The following is a 15,619-nucleotide window of genomic DNA, read 5'->3' as shown; positions in this document are numbered from 1 at the left end:
AAGAGTCAAGCCATGCGTTTGAGTCTCAGCTCTGCTACTAATTATTCCTCCACTTTACCTTTTGAAGGAGATCCGGACTACAAAGGAAAGGTCTTTAACCTCTCTGAATCTCATTGTGAAATGTGCTCTTCCAGTTCTATAATAAGATGTACCTTTGATGCATCAACCAATACAGCAAAATTGCCTTTCATAGCTAAAATCATGTAACTTGAGTTCCACAGAGCACTCCAGCATATCATTTATACAATTACTCATATATCCTTTATCCCCATATTTTAACATCTTCATTTATTTGGAAACACTCAACTACCTGCCAATTCAAAAGTCAACCACATCCCCATATGTAACTAATTTTTATCTTTTTTTTTTTTTAAACAGGTGAAGGTGCCGAGCTATAAACCTCCAGAATATTATTAGTCTGCATGGTTAAAAGTAGTCATGGATAACTACATTACCTGTTCTTGCCTAATAAGTTTCTTTTAATCCAATCCACTAACACTTTAGTTATATTCACTGGTTTTACACAGAGAAATACAAAATAAAGATCACACATCAAGACTATCTACAAAAATTTATTATATATTTACAGAAGAAAAGCATGCATATCATTAAACAAATAAAATACTTTTTATCACAACACAGTACATATTTGTCATTTTTAAAAAGCCACACAATAGAAACAAGACACCAAGATATTTAATTATCTTGTTGACTCCTGTAAAATAGCTAAACACTCATCATTCGCGGTGCAATACTCATAGACATAAGTTCCTGAAACAATAGTTTGCATGCGTAAGGCATTCGCACCAAAGAAATCTGAAAAGAAAAAACAAATGGTAATTAGCAGAATTGTATTGAAGTGACCCCACTTCTCTACCCCAGAAAAAGACAAAGATCTGGTACTGTAGATAATGAATAAATGAGTGGAGCTGAGAACACACATTCTGCTACCTCAGCTTATGGTGGTTCTTTCTCCTAGTAGGCTTTGGTATTTTACCCATTCTGCCAGACATAATTTATATTCACCCACCTCAACTAAAAGGTTTTCAAAAACTCATTGTTTAAAATCCCTTGTACAAAGTCTTATTATTTCCAAAAGATGAATAGCTTAGAGAAATTACCACACTAAAACCTAAACTGGTTTTTAGAAAAATCAAATTATCTTTTCCTTATTTAGAACTCGGAATCTCACAGAAGCATGCTATCAAAATTGTGAAAATGCCAATCTGTTCTGCCACACTAATTCTGCCTGGATAATCAGACCAACACAGTTTCCTCTAAACAAATATCAACTGCCAGTAAAGTCTATACACACCTGGGTTTTATTGCGGCAGCCCCTGCATTCATATGTATGGGTCCTGGTGTTGGCAATCGCCATTATTCCACAAAGATTGCAAACATGAACCTGATATGGATCTGATGCCTCAAACAATCTTTCCCTTAAAAACTGGGCTGCTCCATGGGCAATCTGACAATCTCGTTCCATTTCTCCAAAACGCAGGCCACCATCACTGTTAAGAGAAAAAAATTATTACTTTGTACTTATTTTTTATTATAAACACCGCCTTGAATAATGGCAAAGGTGGAGAATAATATTTGCAAAGACGGATAACTAGGCTCTAATTTTTATACCCTAGCATTCTCTCTATTGGTGGGGAGAGGAGAAGTCTACCAACTATTTGACGTGCATTAGAAAGTCCCCAAATGGGCTAAGCAAAGTGGCTCACCCCTGTAATCCCAGCACTTTGGGAAGTGGACTGGGTGGATCTCTTGAGCTCAGGAGCCTGGGCAACATGGCGAGACCCCATCTCTATTTTTTAACAAATAAAAATAAAAACAGAAGGTCCCCAAATGGAGTGGATACATTAGATTCTTAAGTAGAGCATTTAATTTTCCTCATAAGACACAATAAAGCATAGAGTGGAGGTTCATCATGCTATCATTTAACTTTCTAGAATTCAACTCTATACTAAAAAAATGAATAATGAAAAAGACAATCTAAATAAGGCAGCTTGTCAATGGAATGACTGTCCCAGGCAATCAACCTTGAAATCATAAATACATGTTGGCTGAAGTAATGGAAAGAACAGGTAAATGATAATAGGTTTCCCCAACATAAGAAGTGAAATAAATGCATTATTCAGATGGCCAGGCAAATAGATGGTGATGGCTTCCTTAACATACTTAATATCCAAAATATACAAAATAAAACCAATGGGTTTATAATGATATTCCACCAAAACAAAAAAATCATTGGTCGACTTTGGACCACTGATCTGGATCATTAGACAACCAGCTCACTATTTTGAAAACTGGTAAATAAAAAAAGAGAATCAAGCATTTATTCCTGCCCTTACTATAAGAACTACATCACTAGGTAACCAAACAGTTGAGGAAACAAAGTTTTAGAAGTAGTCTGGCTAAAAACTGAAGAAGGACTGAGAAAAAATAGAATGGTATCAGTTGGAAATCGCCATTTAATTAAGGTCTTTAGTAATAGCTGCTAAAATCATAAAAAGAAAGGCAACCAGATACTGGAAGTATAGAATACCACCTATAAAGTATTACTGCCAAAAAACTCAAACGCTAAATCTCAAGCCTCAAGATCTATTTACAAAAAACAAAAAACAAACAAACAAACAAAAAACAGCAATGCACAGCATTTGGGATGCAAGCAGCAAAATTCAGTCTCAAGCCCTGGACAAACAGTCCAGGTTGTTCAACAAACAAATTACAAGGGGAAAAAAAAGGTTGGAAGGCAACCAATAAATTCAAAAAAGGACTTATGAGACACTATCAATCAATTGCAAAGCATGGACCTTATCTGTATACTGATTAAAACCAACAAACCTTTAAAAAACTTATGTGATAATCAGGGAAATGTAAATCTGGATATTTAATACTAAGGAGGTACTGTGGTTAGGTTTAGTGTCCTAATCTTTTAGAGCAGAGGTTCTCAGAGTGTGGTTCATGGACCGCCTGAGAGTCAAAGCTATTTTTAATAGTAATACTAACAACATATATTTGCTTCTTTCACTGTGTTTACATTTGCACTGATGGTGGAAACATGAATAAAACTGCTGACACCTTAGCAGAACTCAGGGTAGCAGAACCAAACATTACTAGCAGTCATATTCTCCATTCAAGTGAAGGGGAGAAAAGCCAGTTTTACTTAAAAATGTCCTTAATGAAGCAGTGAAAATAAATAGTTTTATTAAACCTTAACCCTTGAGTATACATCTCTTTCATATCCTGTGACTTTTAAAAAAATGAAAGTCCTCAACCAGGCACGATGACTCACACCTATAATCCCAGCACTTTGGGAGGCCAAGGTGAGAGGCTGGATTGAGCCCAGGAGTTCAAGACCAGCCAGAGCAACACAGTAAGACCCAGTCTCTATATAAAAAATAAAGTAAAATAAAATGGAACACTTCATAAGCACTTCTACTGCATAGTGAAGATGACTGTCTTGAACAAAAGCACTTGCATGATTCTGAACTAGTCCCTTTTAACATGGAGTATCTTTTTTACTCAAATAGCCAGCTGACACCAACTATGTTAACTCATCAACATGTTAACACCCATGATGTTAATTCAGACTTAGAATTAAGTTGACGATGTTGTAGATATTTGGCAGACAAAGAAATGAACAAAAAGAAATGAAAGCAAACGAAAAAAGTAAGTCTTTGAGGAAAATAATTTTAAGTATTTGTTGAAAATGATGAAAATTGTGAGCTTCAAGCAAAAATCAGAATTTTAGGAAACTTCTATGCACCACTATGGGCTTGATAGCTTCCTGATATATTTAAAGGCTTTTCTAATGACATCAGTAGTCATATTAACAAATGCAATTTTTTTATTATAATGAAGTGTGTTAACATTTGAAAATCTACGTAACTCAGCAAACCAATATTTTCCAAATGACCAATTAGGATGCTACAAAATATGCATGTGTAAAAGATACATCTGAAGTACAAGACAAACCAATGAACTTCAAACATAAATACAGAAGGTTCATTCATATGGTTTCAGTTTCTACATCAAAACCAACCTTTGAGAAACTACAACTTACCGTTTTGGTGTAGTATCAAAAAAATATCCACAGGCCAGGCGCCTTGGCTCATGCCTGTAATCCCAGCACTTTGGGAGGCCAAGGCAGACAGGTGGATCACTTAAGCTCAGGAGTTTGAGACCAGCTGGGAAACATGGCAAAACCCTGTCTCTACTAAAAAATATAAAAAATTAGCTGGGCTTGGTGGTGCATGCCTGTAGTCCCAGCTACTTGAGGCTGAGATGGGAGGATCACCTGAGCCTGGAAAGTAGAGGCTGCAGTGAGCTGTGATTGTGCCACCACACTCCAGCCTAGGCAACAGGGATGAAACTGTCTCAAAAAAAGGGAAGGGGTGGGCTGGGCGTGGTGGCTCTTGCCTGTAATCCCAGCAATTTGGAAGGCCAAGGCAGGCGGATCACTTGAGGCCAACCATTTGAGACCAGCCTGGGCAAAATGGTGAAACCCTGGCTCTACAAAAAATACAAAAATTAGCTGGGCTTGGTGGCGCACACCTGTAATCCCAGCTACTTGGGAGGCCGAGGCACGAGAATTGCTTGAATCCGGGAGGCGGAGGTTGCCGTGAGCCGAGATCGCACCACTGCACTCCAGCCTGGGTGACAGAGTGAGACTGTCTCACAAAAAAAAAGCCAAAATATTCCTCTCTTTCCAACCACTTATTTGCATGAAATTAGAACTTCCTCATATACTTAAATATAAAAAATAAAATACTACAATGGAATGAATGCAGAAGTAGATGTAAGAATCCAGCTGTTTCTATTAAGCCAGGTCATTAGAGAGATTCGCAAAAATGTAAACCAATGTTATTCTTGTCACTAAATTCATCTGGAAAATAGATATATTTTTCATTAAACATGGTTTTTTGTTTTGTTTTGTTTTGTTATCGAGACAGAGTCTCACTCTGTCGCCCAGGCTGGAGTGCAGTGGCACGATCTTGGCTCACTGCAACCTCCACCTCCTGGGTTCAAGCAATTCTTCCCTCAGGCTCCCGAGTAGCTGGGATTACAGGTGTGAGCCACCACGCCCAGCCAAAACATGTTATTTATGTTAACACGTAATGAGCTTATTAGCATTTTTAAAACAATAAATTTAAAATCTCAGCTTTAACTTCTAATATGATAAATATCAATAAATACAACTCACATAAAACAAAAGCATTTTGGGTTCCCGGGATCAAGACATTTGAGAACCATTGTTTTAAAGATATACACTGAAAAATTTATAGGAGAAATTATATGATGTCTGGGCTTTGCTTAAAAATAATCAAGAGGGCTGGGTGCAGTGGTTCACGCCTGTAATTCCAACACTTTGGAAGGCTGAGGCTAGAGGATTGTGGCCATGAGTTCAAGTCCAGCCTGGGCAACATAGTGAGACCCCCGTCTCTACAAAATTTTTTGTTTTTTGTTTTGAGATGAAGTCTCACTCTGTCACCCAGGCTGGAGCACAGGGGTGTGATCTCGGCTCACTGCAACCTCCGCCTCCCAGGTTCAAGTGATTCTCATGCCTCAGCCTCCCGAGTAGCTGGGATTACAGGTGTGTGCCACCATGCCCGACTAATTTTTTGTATTTTTAGTAGAGACGGTGTTTTGCCATGTTGACCAGGCTGGTCTTGGACTCCTGACCTCAGGTGATCTACCCGTCTTGGCCTCCCAAAGTGCTGGGATTGCAGACATGAGCCATTGCGCCTAGCCTCTACAAAAAAAAAATTTTTTTTTTAAAGGTGTAGTGGCACATGCCTGTAGTTAAAAAAAAGGTTGGAGGACAACCAATAAATTCAAAAAAGGACTTAAGAGACAATATTAATTTAGCTACTTGGGAGGCTAAGGTAGGATTGCTTGTGCCCAGTTCAAGGCTGCAGGGAGCTGTGGGCATGCCACTGCACTCCAGCCTGGGTGACAGAGTGAGACTCTGCCTTTAAAACATGATGATAATATCAAAGGTTAGAAGGACAGAGATGAATGCAACAAGACTGGCCATCAGTCGATAATTGTTGAAATGGGGGTAACAGGCACACAGGCATTCACTATACCACTATCTCCATTTTGGTGTGTTGACATTTTTCATAATATAAGGTTAATTAATAATAATGATGATGATACAGTTCTTACCGAGATCTACCCTCCATGGGCTGTCTATTGAGGATCTGAATAGGTCCCCTAGCACGAGAGTGAATCTTATCATCCACCATATGCTTCAAACGCTGGTAATAAGTGGGGCCAATAAATATTTGTGATGTGATTTTTCGACCAGTGAACCCATTGTACAGGACCTGCAACAAACACAGATTTTGAAGTGTAGACCTAAAAATTAAACAACGTCAAAGAAGATATGTGTATATATTGTGTTACTCCATTTATATAAAAATTAAAGCACAGAACTAATCTATAATGTTAGCAATTAAGAGAGTAATTAGCTTGGGGTGGGAGTGGAAAGGTAGCGACTAAAAAAGGTTCAGTCGCTACCTTCACATTTTTAGATCTTGGTGTTAGTCATGCAGCTGTGTTTACTTTGTGAAAATTCATCAAGCTGTACATTTCTATATGTGCACATATGATACTTCAATAAAAGGTTACATTGTTTCAGAATAAAACTACACACATACAAAAAAAAACAAGTGGCAAATTACTACTATAAGAGCAAATATACCTCATTTCCTCTGAGATGATAGCCATAATCAGATAAAAGATTAGAAATCTTCTGCACGTTAACAGCATCATTAAATGGAGTGGCATCACCAATTTCACCCTTGTTAGCCGATACCTTTTAAAAAAAAAAGTACTCTTTAAAATGTTGCTTCAGTCTGTCTCCCCCTAAAAGTCATATCAATAAAAATGCATTCAAAAAATTTTTAAATACTTTTAAAATTTGAAAGTATTATTTTAAGTATTTTAAAATTCAAAGATTTTGAACTCAAAATCTATGTTATGGAAAGCTGTGATATATAAGGTTCATTTTATAACCTTACACAAAACATTTAGAACAAATAAACTTGCTTAAAAAAGAAAAACTCAATTATAAGTATTCAAATAGAAGTCGATCCATGGGATCAGGTACAAAAAGAGTGAGACTCCTAAGTACTTCAGATGGCTCAAAGGAAAATGACATTTTAATGCCCTAAAACCAAGCCATCCATATGTTAGACTATTACCACTTTACCTTAAAAGAATACTTAAAAATAGAAAACCTCCACCAAAAGATGTATGCAGAGCTGATAATAGAACTATAAAATTATTAAGTTCACATTGAACTCTCCATCAACAAATTAACTGTTCATCTACAGAAAAGAACTAGTCAAAAGGAAAATCACATATGTATTAGTTGAATGTAGTATATCTCACAAAAATTCTGACTTGTCCATAACTTTGCAAATTGCCAAAAAAAATGGCAGAATCATAAGCAATTTGAAAGCAGAAAAGTAAGTCTCACACTAGCTTTTTACAAAGTACCCTGGCTCAAATGTGAGAGCAATCACCTATCAGAGTTTTAGAAGAAGCATCAGCTTAGAATCTATATTTTTGAAGAACATCTCTTACCTTCCCTTGAAGGCATTCAATTAAGTGACCAATAGTCATACGAGAGGGGATGGCATGGGGATTGATGATGATATCAGGGGTGATACCTTCACAGGTGAAAGGCATATCCTACAAAGAAAAATTTTAAAAGGGACTCAAAGATACATATACTAAACTAGAACTGACATTTCAGTTCTCCCAACTGAATTACTGTATGTCCCAAATTCTGTTTAAACATGGTATGTTCATATACTTATTCAACAATAAAATCAAAAAGTTCAACCTGTATCATCTTTGAGCTCTTAAGTTAAAGCAAATTTTGATTAAAAAAAAAATATTTAACAAAACTGGTTTGGGCATGAGGGAGATCAAAGATACCTACCTCTTGTCTATACTGAATACCACAAGTACCCTTTTGACCATGTCGACTAGCAAATTTGTCTCCAATCTGTGGAATCCTAACAGAGCGTACCTAAATTCATATAAAAATAAGTTAGTTAAGTGGATTTGGTTTACTTTCTAAAACTAGCTACATGAACAAAGTTGTACTCACCCTTATTTTACAAAATTTATATCCTTCCTGATTGAGAGTTACCATAACCTGATCCACAATGCCCGTCTCGCTAGTTCTGAGAAAAGTGCTACAGTCTCTCTTGGTATAGCGTCTATTGGTGCTCTCCAATTCATCTTCATTTTCAGGCAAGGTGACTGTTTTGCCTATAATAACATCATCTCCTGATACACGAACCCCTGGAGCTATCAAACCATCATCATCCAGCTTGTCGTAAATGGCATGCCTCATGCCTGTGAGGAAATAGACACGGAATGTCACATAATCCCCAACAAAGATTAAAAACCACATACATGAATCAGTTCCAAGTCAGAGAGAAGGCCACAGGAGTCTCTATACCATGAATCACACCCTTATTCCAAATATTACAAACTATTCTGAACTCTAATACTACAGCCCACACAGAAAACAAAAAAAAAAGTCTATGAAGGAAAAGAACATTGGAATCAGCACTGGGAAAGCAGATTCTTCCATGACAGACATTTATCGAGTGACTTTGGATATGTTTTTTGTCATCTTCTGATTTCTATATTACAAGAGAAAGAATATCTCTGCCATCAGTGGGTACAGGAGAAAAATTTTTTTAAATTAAAAAGAGAGTATCTATGGATGCCCTCTGTACACATCCTCCCACAGAAATTGTGGATTTCATCTTAACTCAATCTTAACTCCACTGGACATCAATTCACTACTACACAGAGCCACCCAATGGAAGGGGAGTAACAGGAAGATGGCAAAGGAAACAAAATACATTTTACTTCATGCAATGCTATTCAGAGTCAACACTGTAGCAGAGATATTGCATTTCCCTGGAACATCCCATCCATCCCACTGCATAAGCAGGTTTTAAGTGTCTGTCAAAATAAATAACTAGAAAGTAAGTTTGAGTTTTCTAGAAGAAACAACAAATGCTAGGTATCCTCTTCTCACTGGTTATTTTTTAAATGTTTACAAACAATGTGGCTGAACAAATATTATGATCACACCATAATTTAGAAAGGAAGGGGGACAGGTGTGAAGTGTGTCCCCAGAAATTGCATGACCTCTCTGATTTCCTAAACTCCCTCCTCAATGCAGGACCTACCAGGAAGGAAGGTCTATAGCAAGCTCACTCCTAGGTGCAAAGACTTTTATCAAATACACATGTTTTCTTAGATGTGAACTCTAAGAATAACATGAAAACACACTTTCATTGCACAAAAAAAGGGAGAGGAGGACAGGGGCAGGCACAGGGTGACACAACCCATCAAAATCACTTAGGAAAACCACAGTAAGTTAACTTTGGATTCCATCATTTAAATGTTAGTGTCACTTACCCTGGCATGTTTCACGTGTAGGCTTCTCAAAAACTTCTTCTTGATCAAATCCTTTTTTAGACTCCTGTTCTTTGTATGAGCGATAGAAAACAGACCTAAAAACACATGGTTCTAAAGGTAAAGTCTATTTTCTTTTAACAAAAGGGCTGAGACTATACCAACAATTTCTCATTTACTTGAAATTTGGGAGACAATTTAAACTACGAATCTGGGACAAGAGTAACTGCATTAAGGATCTGAGTTAAACTCTAAATGTTATCACATGAGTTATACATATGTAGCATCTGACCCATAACCTTAACCACCTAGTATTATATGTCAAAATGGAAGAGACCCAGGGGTCAATGAATCCAACCTCCGACACATTTAAGAATCCATTACATAATAACCCTGAAAGATGGTCACCTAGGTTCTACTCAAACACTTCCAGTGAGAAGTTTTAACATTGGCTGAGCATGGTGGCTCACGCCTGTAATCCTAGCACTTTGGGAAGCCGAGATGGGTGGATCAGCTGAAGTCAGGAGTTTGAGACAGCCTGGCCAACATGGTGAAACCCCGTCTCTACTAAAAATACCAAACAACAACAAAAAAAAACTCTGGCATGGTGGTGCGTGCCTGTAATCCCAGGTACTTGGGAAGCTGAGGTAGGAGAATCTCTTGAAACCTGGGAGGCAGAGATTGCAAGTGAGCCAAGATTGCACCACTGCATTCCAGTCTTGGCAACAGAAAGACTCTGTCTCAAAAAAAAAAAAAAAAAAAAAGTTTTTACATTAAGCCATAGTATCTGTCCTCTGAGTTCTAGTGCTACCCTTTGAAACTACACAGACAAAGGAAAATCCATCCCCTCTACTAAATTCCCAGTTTTTAAAACAATCTTTATATGCCTTGAATTTGAGGTCTGTTTGTCGACAATCAAACTGAAACATAATGGAAAAAAAGAGCGAAAAGAAAACACACTATAATTTTAACAATAGTTATCTATGGATTCTAAGTTATTTTTATTTCTTCTTTGGACATTTCTATATTATCTAAATGCAACTGTATATTTCCTTACCAAAAGAAAGGCTCAAAATACTAGCATTTGAAAATCCTGAGAGATACAAGTAGTATCTTCAGCTGTTTGTGACCATCAACCAGTCCTTCCACTTTCTGGAGTGCGGCGTAGTTAAACTGTATTTTAAGAACTTTTTTTGCATAAAAAATTAGTGTTTCCACTGTATCTGTGTTTTGACAAATTTACAAAATACTAACCTGAAGAAGCCGCGGTCTACAGCTGAACGATTCATGATAACAGAGTCTTCCTGATTATATCCAGTGTATGATGCAATGGCCACAATTGAGTTGATGCCTGCAGTGAATTTAAGAGCATACATTAAAACATCACCTGGAAAACAGAAAAACTGCCCTTTCTTTAAATCAACTTTAATTACATCATATTTGCCATAAATGCTTGGGTGTTTGTTATCATGGTAACTGCCAAAGTCTATTCCTCCTGGAATAGCAATCTGTGAGGCAACTACTCTGATGGCTAAATATCTCCCACAAGCAAATCCTAGGACTAGTCACTCCCAATGTATCCATTCTTATAGTAAGTGATTACACATGAGTCACCTCCTACTTAGGAAGTGCCTCCCCAAACCAAGTTTCCTGATCCTCACAGCAACTCTGTGCCATAAACAAGATAAGCATTATTATTCTCATGAATCAGAGGAGTGAATTAATAATCTACCCATGATCCCAAAATTAATAAGCAATAGACTCAAGCCCCAGCTTTTAGGTTTGAAACTGATACTACCCCATTCCCCTCTCCTTCTGCCACCAAGAAAATATCATATCTTTCCCACCACAATGAAATTCTTAGTTGCTGCTGCCAAAACACTTTGTTTGATGAGCCCATAAAATAACTTGATATTTAGGTCGGGCATGGTGGCTCACGCCTGTAATCCCAGCACTTTGGGAGGCCGAGGCAGGTGGATCACAAGGTCAAGCGATTGAGACCATCCTGGCCAACATGGTGAAACCCCACCTCTAATAAAAATACAAAAACTAGCTGGGCGTGGTGGCACGCGCCTGCAGTCCCAGCTACTCAGGAGGCTGAGACAGAAGAATCGCTTAAACCCAGGAGGCAGAGGTTGCAGCGAACCAAGATCGTGCCACTGCACTCCAGCCTGGTGGCAGAGCGAGAATCCGTCTCAAAAAAATAAAATAAAATAACTTGATATTCATAACCTGGATATCATCATGAGGAAACAATAGTCAAACCTAAATTGAGACACAATGCAAAAATAACTTTCCTGAACTCTTCACAAATGTCAAGGTCATGAAAGACAAGGAAAGACTGAGAAACTGTTCTAGATTAAGGAAACTAAAGAACCATGCAATTAAATGCAATGCACAATCCTGGATTAGCTCCTAGACCCATTAAAGACATCGTTAGGTTTGAATACAATAACAGTTGCTTTCTCAAAAAAAAAAAAAAAAAAAAAAGACATCATTAGGACAACTGGCAAAATTTGAATTGAGGACTGCTGACTATATGGATATCAATGTTACCCTGATTTTGATGGCTACACTGCAGAGAATGTCCTTGTTCTTAGGAAACACATACTGAAGAATTAAAGAATGATATGGCTTCATGCCTGCAACTTACTCTCATGTGGTTCAGGAGGAGAAATAAAAAGGGAGAGAATAATAGAGCAAATGTGGTAAAATGTTAAAAGTTTTTTTAAAAATGGTACGATGGGCTGGCCGTAGTGGCTTACATCTGTAATCCCGGCACTTTGGGAGGCTGAGGTGGGAAAATCACTTGAGCCCAGAAGTTTGAGACCAGCCTGGGCAACAAAGTAGACCCTATCTCTACAAAAAAAAAAAGAATTTCAAAATAAAGATGCCATGATGAAGTCAGGAATAACAGAACTGCAGTCCCTGCCAGCCATGACTCTCCACTTCACACCAGTACCAAAGGAACATTTGCTTTCAAACCTAGTCCTTCTGTATATTTATTTTCCTCTCTAGCCATAAAGAAACTGTATTATCTAAATGTTGGAGAAAACACAGCACTGCAAGCACAGCCCAAAGATACATGCATACTGTGTAGACAACCTAACAGATTTTGCTTTTCTAGACAAGAGGAACCCCTTGTGGAGGATTTTGAAAATAAGTAATTTTAACCTATGAGAATTTGCTATCAAAATGGTAGAGCCCCATTACAATACACTAAAGATAAACTTTACTAACAAATAACAAATGTTACCCACATTCAAAGCCAAAAGTCTGTTAATACAAAAGATAACAGTGCCAAAGAACTCTACTGTCTCCTTTAATAGTCAACACTCATACCCTTCAGATTTCTCTTCACCATTTTACCCACCATCCAGTCTCCCTGAGAATCTCCTACAAACCTGGAATTCCCCTCCTTATCAGCTACTTCTCAAATCTTCTCTCTTAATTTCTCTTCCTGGTGTCTAAAATTGTCTGCCTCTGGCCTTTTTCTCATTCTAAATTCTCCTTAGGCAATTTCATAGTAATCTATAATTATCATTAATAAATTAAAAATTTTACATCTCTAGACTTGACCGTCTTTCAAATCATGTTTGCAACTCACTGTTGGAAGTTCACGTCTTAGTGTTCTGACACTAAGACACTAAATCAACATATCCAAAACAAAATTATTGTCTTACCTCTAAAACCTCTTTCCCCTTCTAACATGTTCCCAATCTTATTTTTCCCCCAACCTATTCAAAGCACCTCTCTTTAATCACCCAAGCCACAAACACCAACAGTATTTCCAATTCCTCTCTTCATTGCTCCACACTCAACCAGTCATCAAGTCCTATCAAGTGTATTTCAAAAGGTATCTTACCCATCATTCTTTTTCATTTCTTTAGGACCTTGCCATTTCACATTTATACTACTGCAAAAACCCCTAAATTAGCTCCCTGTTAATACAGTACCTGATTGTAATCTACTCTTTATGCCGCTGTCAGAATGGTATTCCTAAAACAAATTTCTAATTGTATTACTTCCCTGATCCAAAAGGTTGGATGGGTCTCCATTTTCAAAATAAAATTCAACCTGTTCAAGCTCTCTCCACACTGAGACCAAGCTTTCACTTCCATATATTTACACTCCACTCCCACTAAGCTGACATGACTAACTGTACCGTACATTTTGCATGTCTTCGTCCATCTGGGCCCTTGCTTAAACCACCTCTCAAATGCAAATACCCCTTCATCAATTTTGCTCCAATCTAAAATGCCACCTTCTCCATGAAACTGGATCTAGACTTCCAACAGGAATTAATTGCTTCCATCAGTCTGTGCTTCCAAAGGACTTTGTACCTCCACCAAAACACTTTCCACATACCTACCTTTTTATTATGTTCATGTTTCCCACCATATTATAAATTCCGTGAGAACAGGCACTATGTCATATTTATTTTTTAATCCTCCCAAGCACCCAGAAAAGTGCCTTAAGCACAGAAGGATCTTAAATAACGTAGAGCAAAACTGACCATACCTGCTGGCAGCTCTCTAAATCGTAGATATTCCATAGACCGTGTAGTCACAAGTGGCTTTTGAGGATAATAGAGAACATGGGCCAATGTGTCCATGCGAACATGGAAGTTGGTGATGTAAACTCCCATAGCCTGCTTACCCATAGCAGACTGGTATGTGTTTCTAGGGGACTAAACGTAAAAATGAAAAGCAGAAACAACAAAAAGTTACTATCACTAATGGAAAAGACTCTGACAATAAATCAAAAGAAATATGATTGGTAAAACTCCTGATTTTTTTCAAAAACAGTAAGTAATAACCATTTGGAATAATCAATTACGGCTCTTAACCATGAAACACAACAGCAATTATATCAAATACTGATTCCGTAGGAGTTAATAGCCTTTTCATTAAAAGGCTTTTTCCCTCCAGATAAGACTACAGAGTTACTTTCAATTTTTATTACTTCTCCCAATTCCTCACACCAGAAGACAAAAAGTGATACCAACCTGGTTATGATCAGGAAAGGGAATAATAGATGCACAGACACCAAGGATCATTGAGGGATGAATCTCACAGTGTGTATATGTGGAACAATAAGCTACTTCTTTCTCCTGTAAATCATCTGGAGTCATTGCAAGCATCACTGTTTCTTCTTCCAGGGTATCAATATACTCCACTACCCCACTGGCCACAAGATCCTGCCAACTAAAAAAGAATTCACTCAATTTTCTACTTCCTCAAGTATTTTAACTAACTATTCCTCCTACTTAAAAGTATTCCTATATTTATATTTAAATAAGTTTAATATTATATATTAAATATACATATATATTTATATATATATATAGTTTAATATTATATATAACTGACCAACATAGTTACATGATTGTTGACAAGTGAAATAGGTAAGCTGCTGGAGAATAAGCACTGGAAGAATACACACCTAACTGTTACCAGTATATACTTGTGAAGAAGAGAGTATACATTGGAGGGCAATTTTTTAAATTTATCATACATATTGTTTGAATGATTTTTATATTAGTATACATAACTATACATTCATATTGCTAAAAAATAAATATTTAAAGCAGCTTCATCTTTTTACTAAATTTCTTATTATATTATTCATATTATTGTCATATTATATGTAATAATTTAGATTATATAGGTTATTTCGCATTATTACTATTAATAGATTTTAATATATCACAAAAACTTTTTTTTTTTGAGACAGGGTCTTGCTCTGTTGCCCAGGCTGGTACAATCAAAACTCACTACTCCTGGGCTCAAGTGATCCTCCTGCCTCCTGAGTAGCTGGACTGCAGGTGCATTCCACCACACTTGACTAATTTTTTTATTTTTTGGAGAGATGGGAGTCTCAATATGTTGCCCAGACTGGTCTTGAACTCCTGGCCTCAAGCAATCCTCCCACCTTGACCTCCCAAAGTGCTGAGATTACAGGCATGAGCCACTACACCTGGGCAATCAAAAGACTTTTAAGCTTAAATAAAATCCTATTAATTATCTTGCTTCATAATAGAAGTTAAGAAAAACAAATGTGACTCCTAAGGATACAGAGTTTTTTCGGGGCAATGAAAGTATTCTAAAATTAAGATAGTGGTGATGGTTGCACAACATTGCAAACACACTAA

At 37.2% G+C, this 15,619-nt stretch overlaps 2 protein-coding genes across 4 annotated transcripts in view, besides 1 other annotated feature; one reads left to right on the top strand and one right to left on the bottom strand.

The window, feature by feature from the left end:
- Positions 1-942, top strand: part of IGFBP7 (insulin like growth factor binding protein 7) — a 79,613-nt gene extending 78,671 nt beyond the window's left edge. Inside the window, exon 5 of the mRNA NM_001553.3 lies at positions 379-942. Within this exon, the coding sequence (NP_001544.1) occupies positions 379-398 (20 nt within the window). The 3' untranslated portion in view covers positions 399-942. The remainder of the gene's footprint in view (positions 1-378) is intronic.
- Positions 557-15,619, bottom strand: part of POLR2B (RNA polymerase II subunit B) — a 52,263-nt gene continuing 37,200 nt past the window's right edge. For all 3 annotated transcript variants that reach the window (NM_001303269.2, NM_000938.3, NM_001303268.2), the window contains 11 exons: positions 14,474-14,672; positions 13,987-14,155; positions 10,720-10,816; positions 9,469-9,563; positions 8,135-8,385; positions 7,964-8,053; positions 7,603-7,710; positions 6,716-6,829; positions 6,178-6,338; positions 1,316-1,511; positions 557-816 (listed from right to left, as the gene is read on the bottom strand). In NM_001303269.2, coding sequence (NP_001290198.1) covers positions 727-816; positions 1,316-1,511; positions 6,178-6,338; positions 6,716-6,829; positions 7,603-7,710; positions 7,964-8,053; positions 8,135-8,385; positions 9,469-9,563; positions 10,720-10,816; positions 13,987-14,155; positions 14,474-14,672 — 1,570 coding nt within the window. In that variant the 3' untranslated portion in view covers positions 557-726. The remainder of the gene's footprint in view (positions 817-1,315; positions 1,512-6,177; positions 6,339-6,715; positions 6,830-7,602; positions 7,711-7,963; positions 8,054-8,134; positions 8,386-9,468; positions 9,564-10,719; positions 10,817-13,986; positions 14,156-14,473; positions 14,673-15,619) is intronic.
- Positions 9,338-9,632: a silencer, noted in NCBI's record as "tiled region #7637; HepG2 Repressive non-DNase unmatched - State 15:Elon". NCBI's record gives its function as "represses a minimal TATA promoter and a strong SV40 promoter by Sharpr-MPRA in HepG2 cells {active_cell/tissue: HepG2}" and the evidence as "EXISTENCE:reporter gene assay evidence [ECO:0000049][PMID:27701403]".

This window comes from Homo sapiens, chromosome 4 (genome assembly GCF_000001405.40).
Source record: "Homo sapiens chromosome 4, GRCh38.p14 Primary Assembly".
NCBI lineage: Eukaryota > Metazoa > Chordata > Mammalia > Primates > Hominidae > Homo > Homo sapiens.
This window is presented reverse-complemented; position numbering and strand designations above follow the sequence as displayed.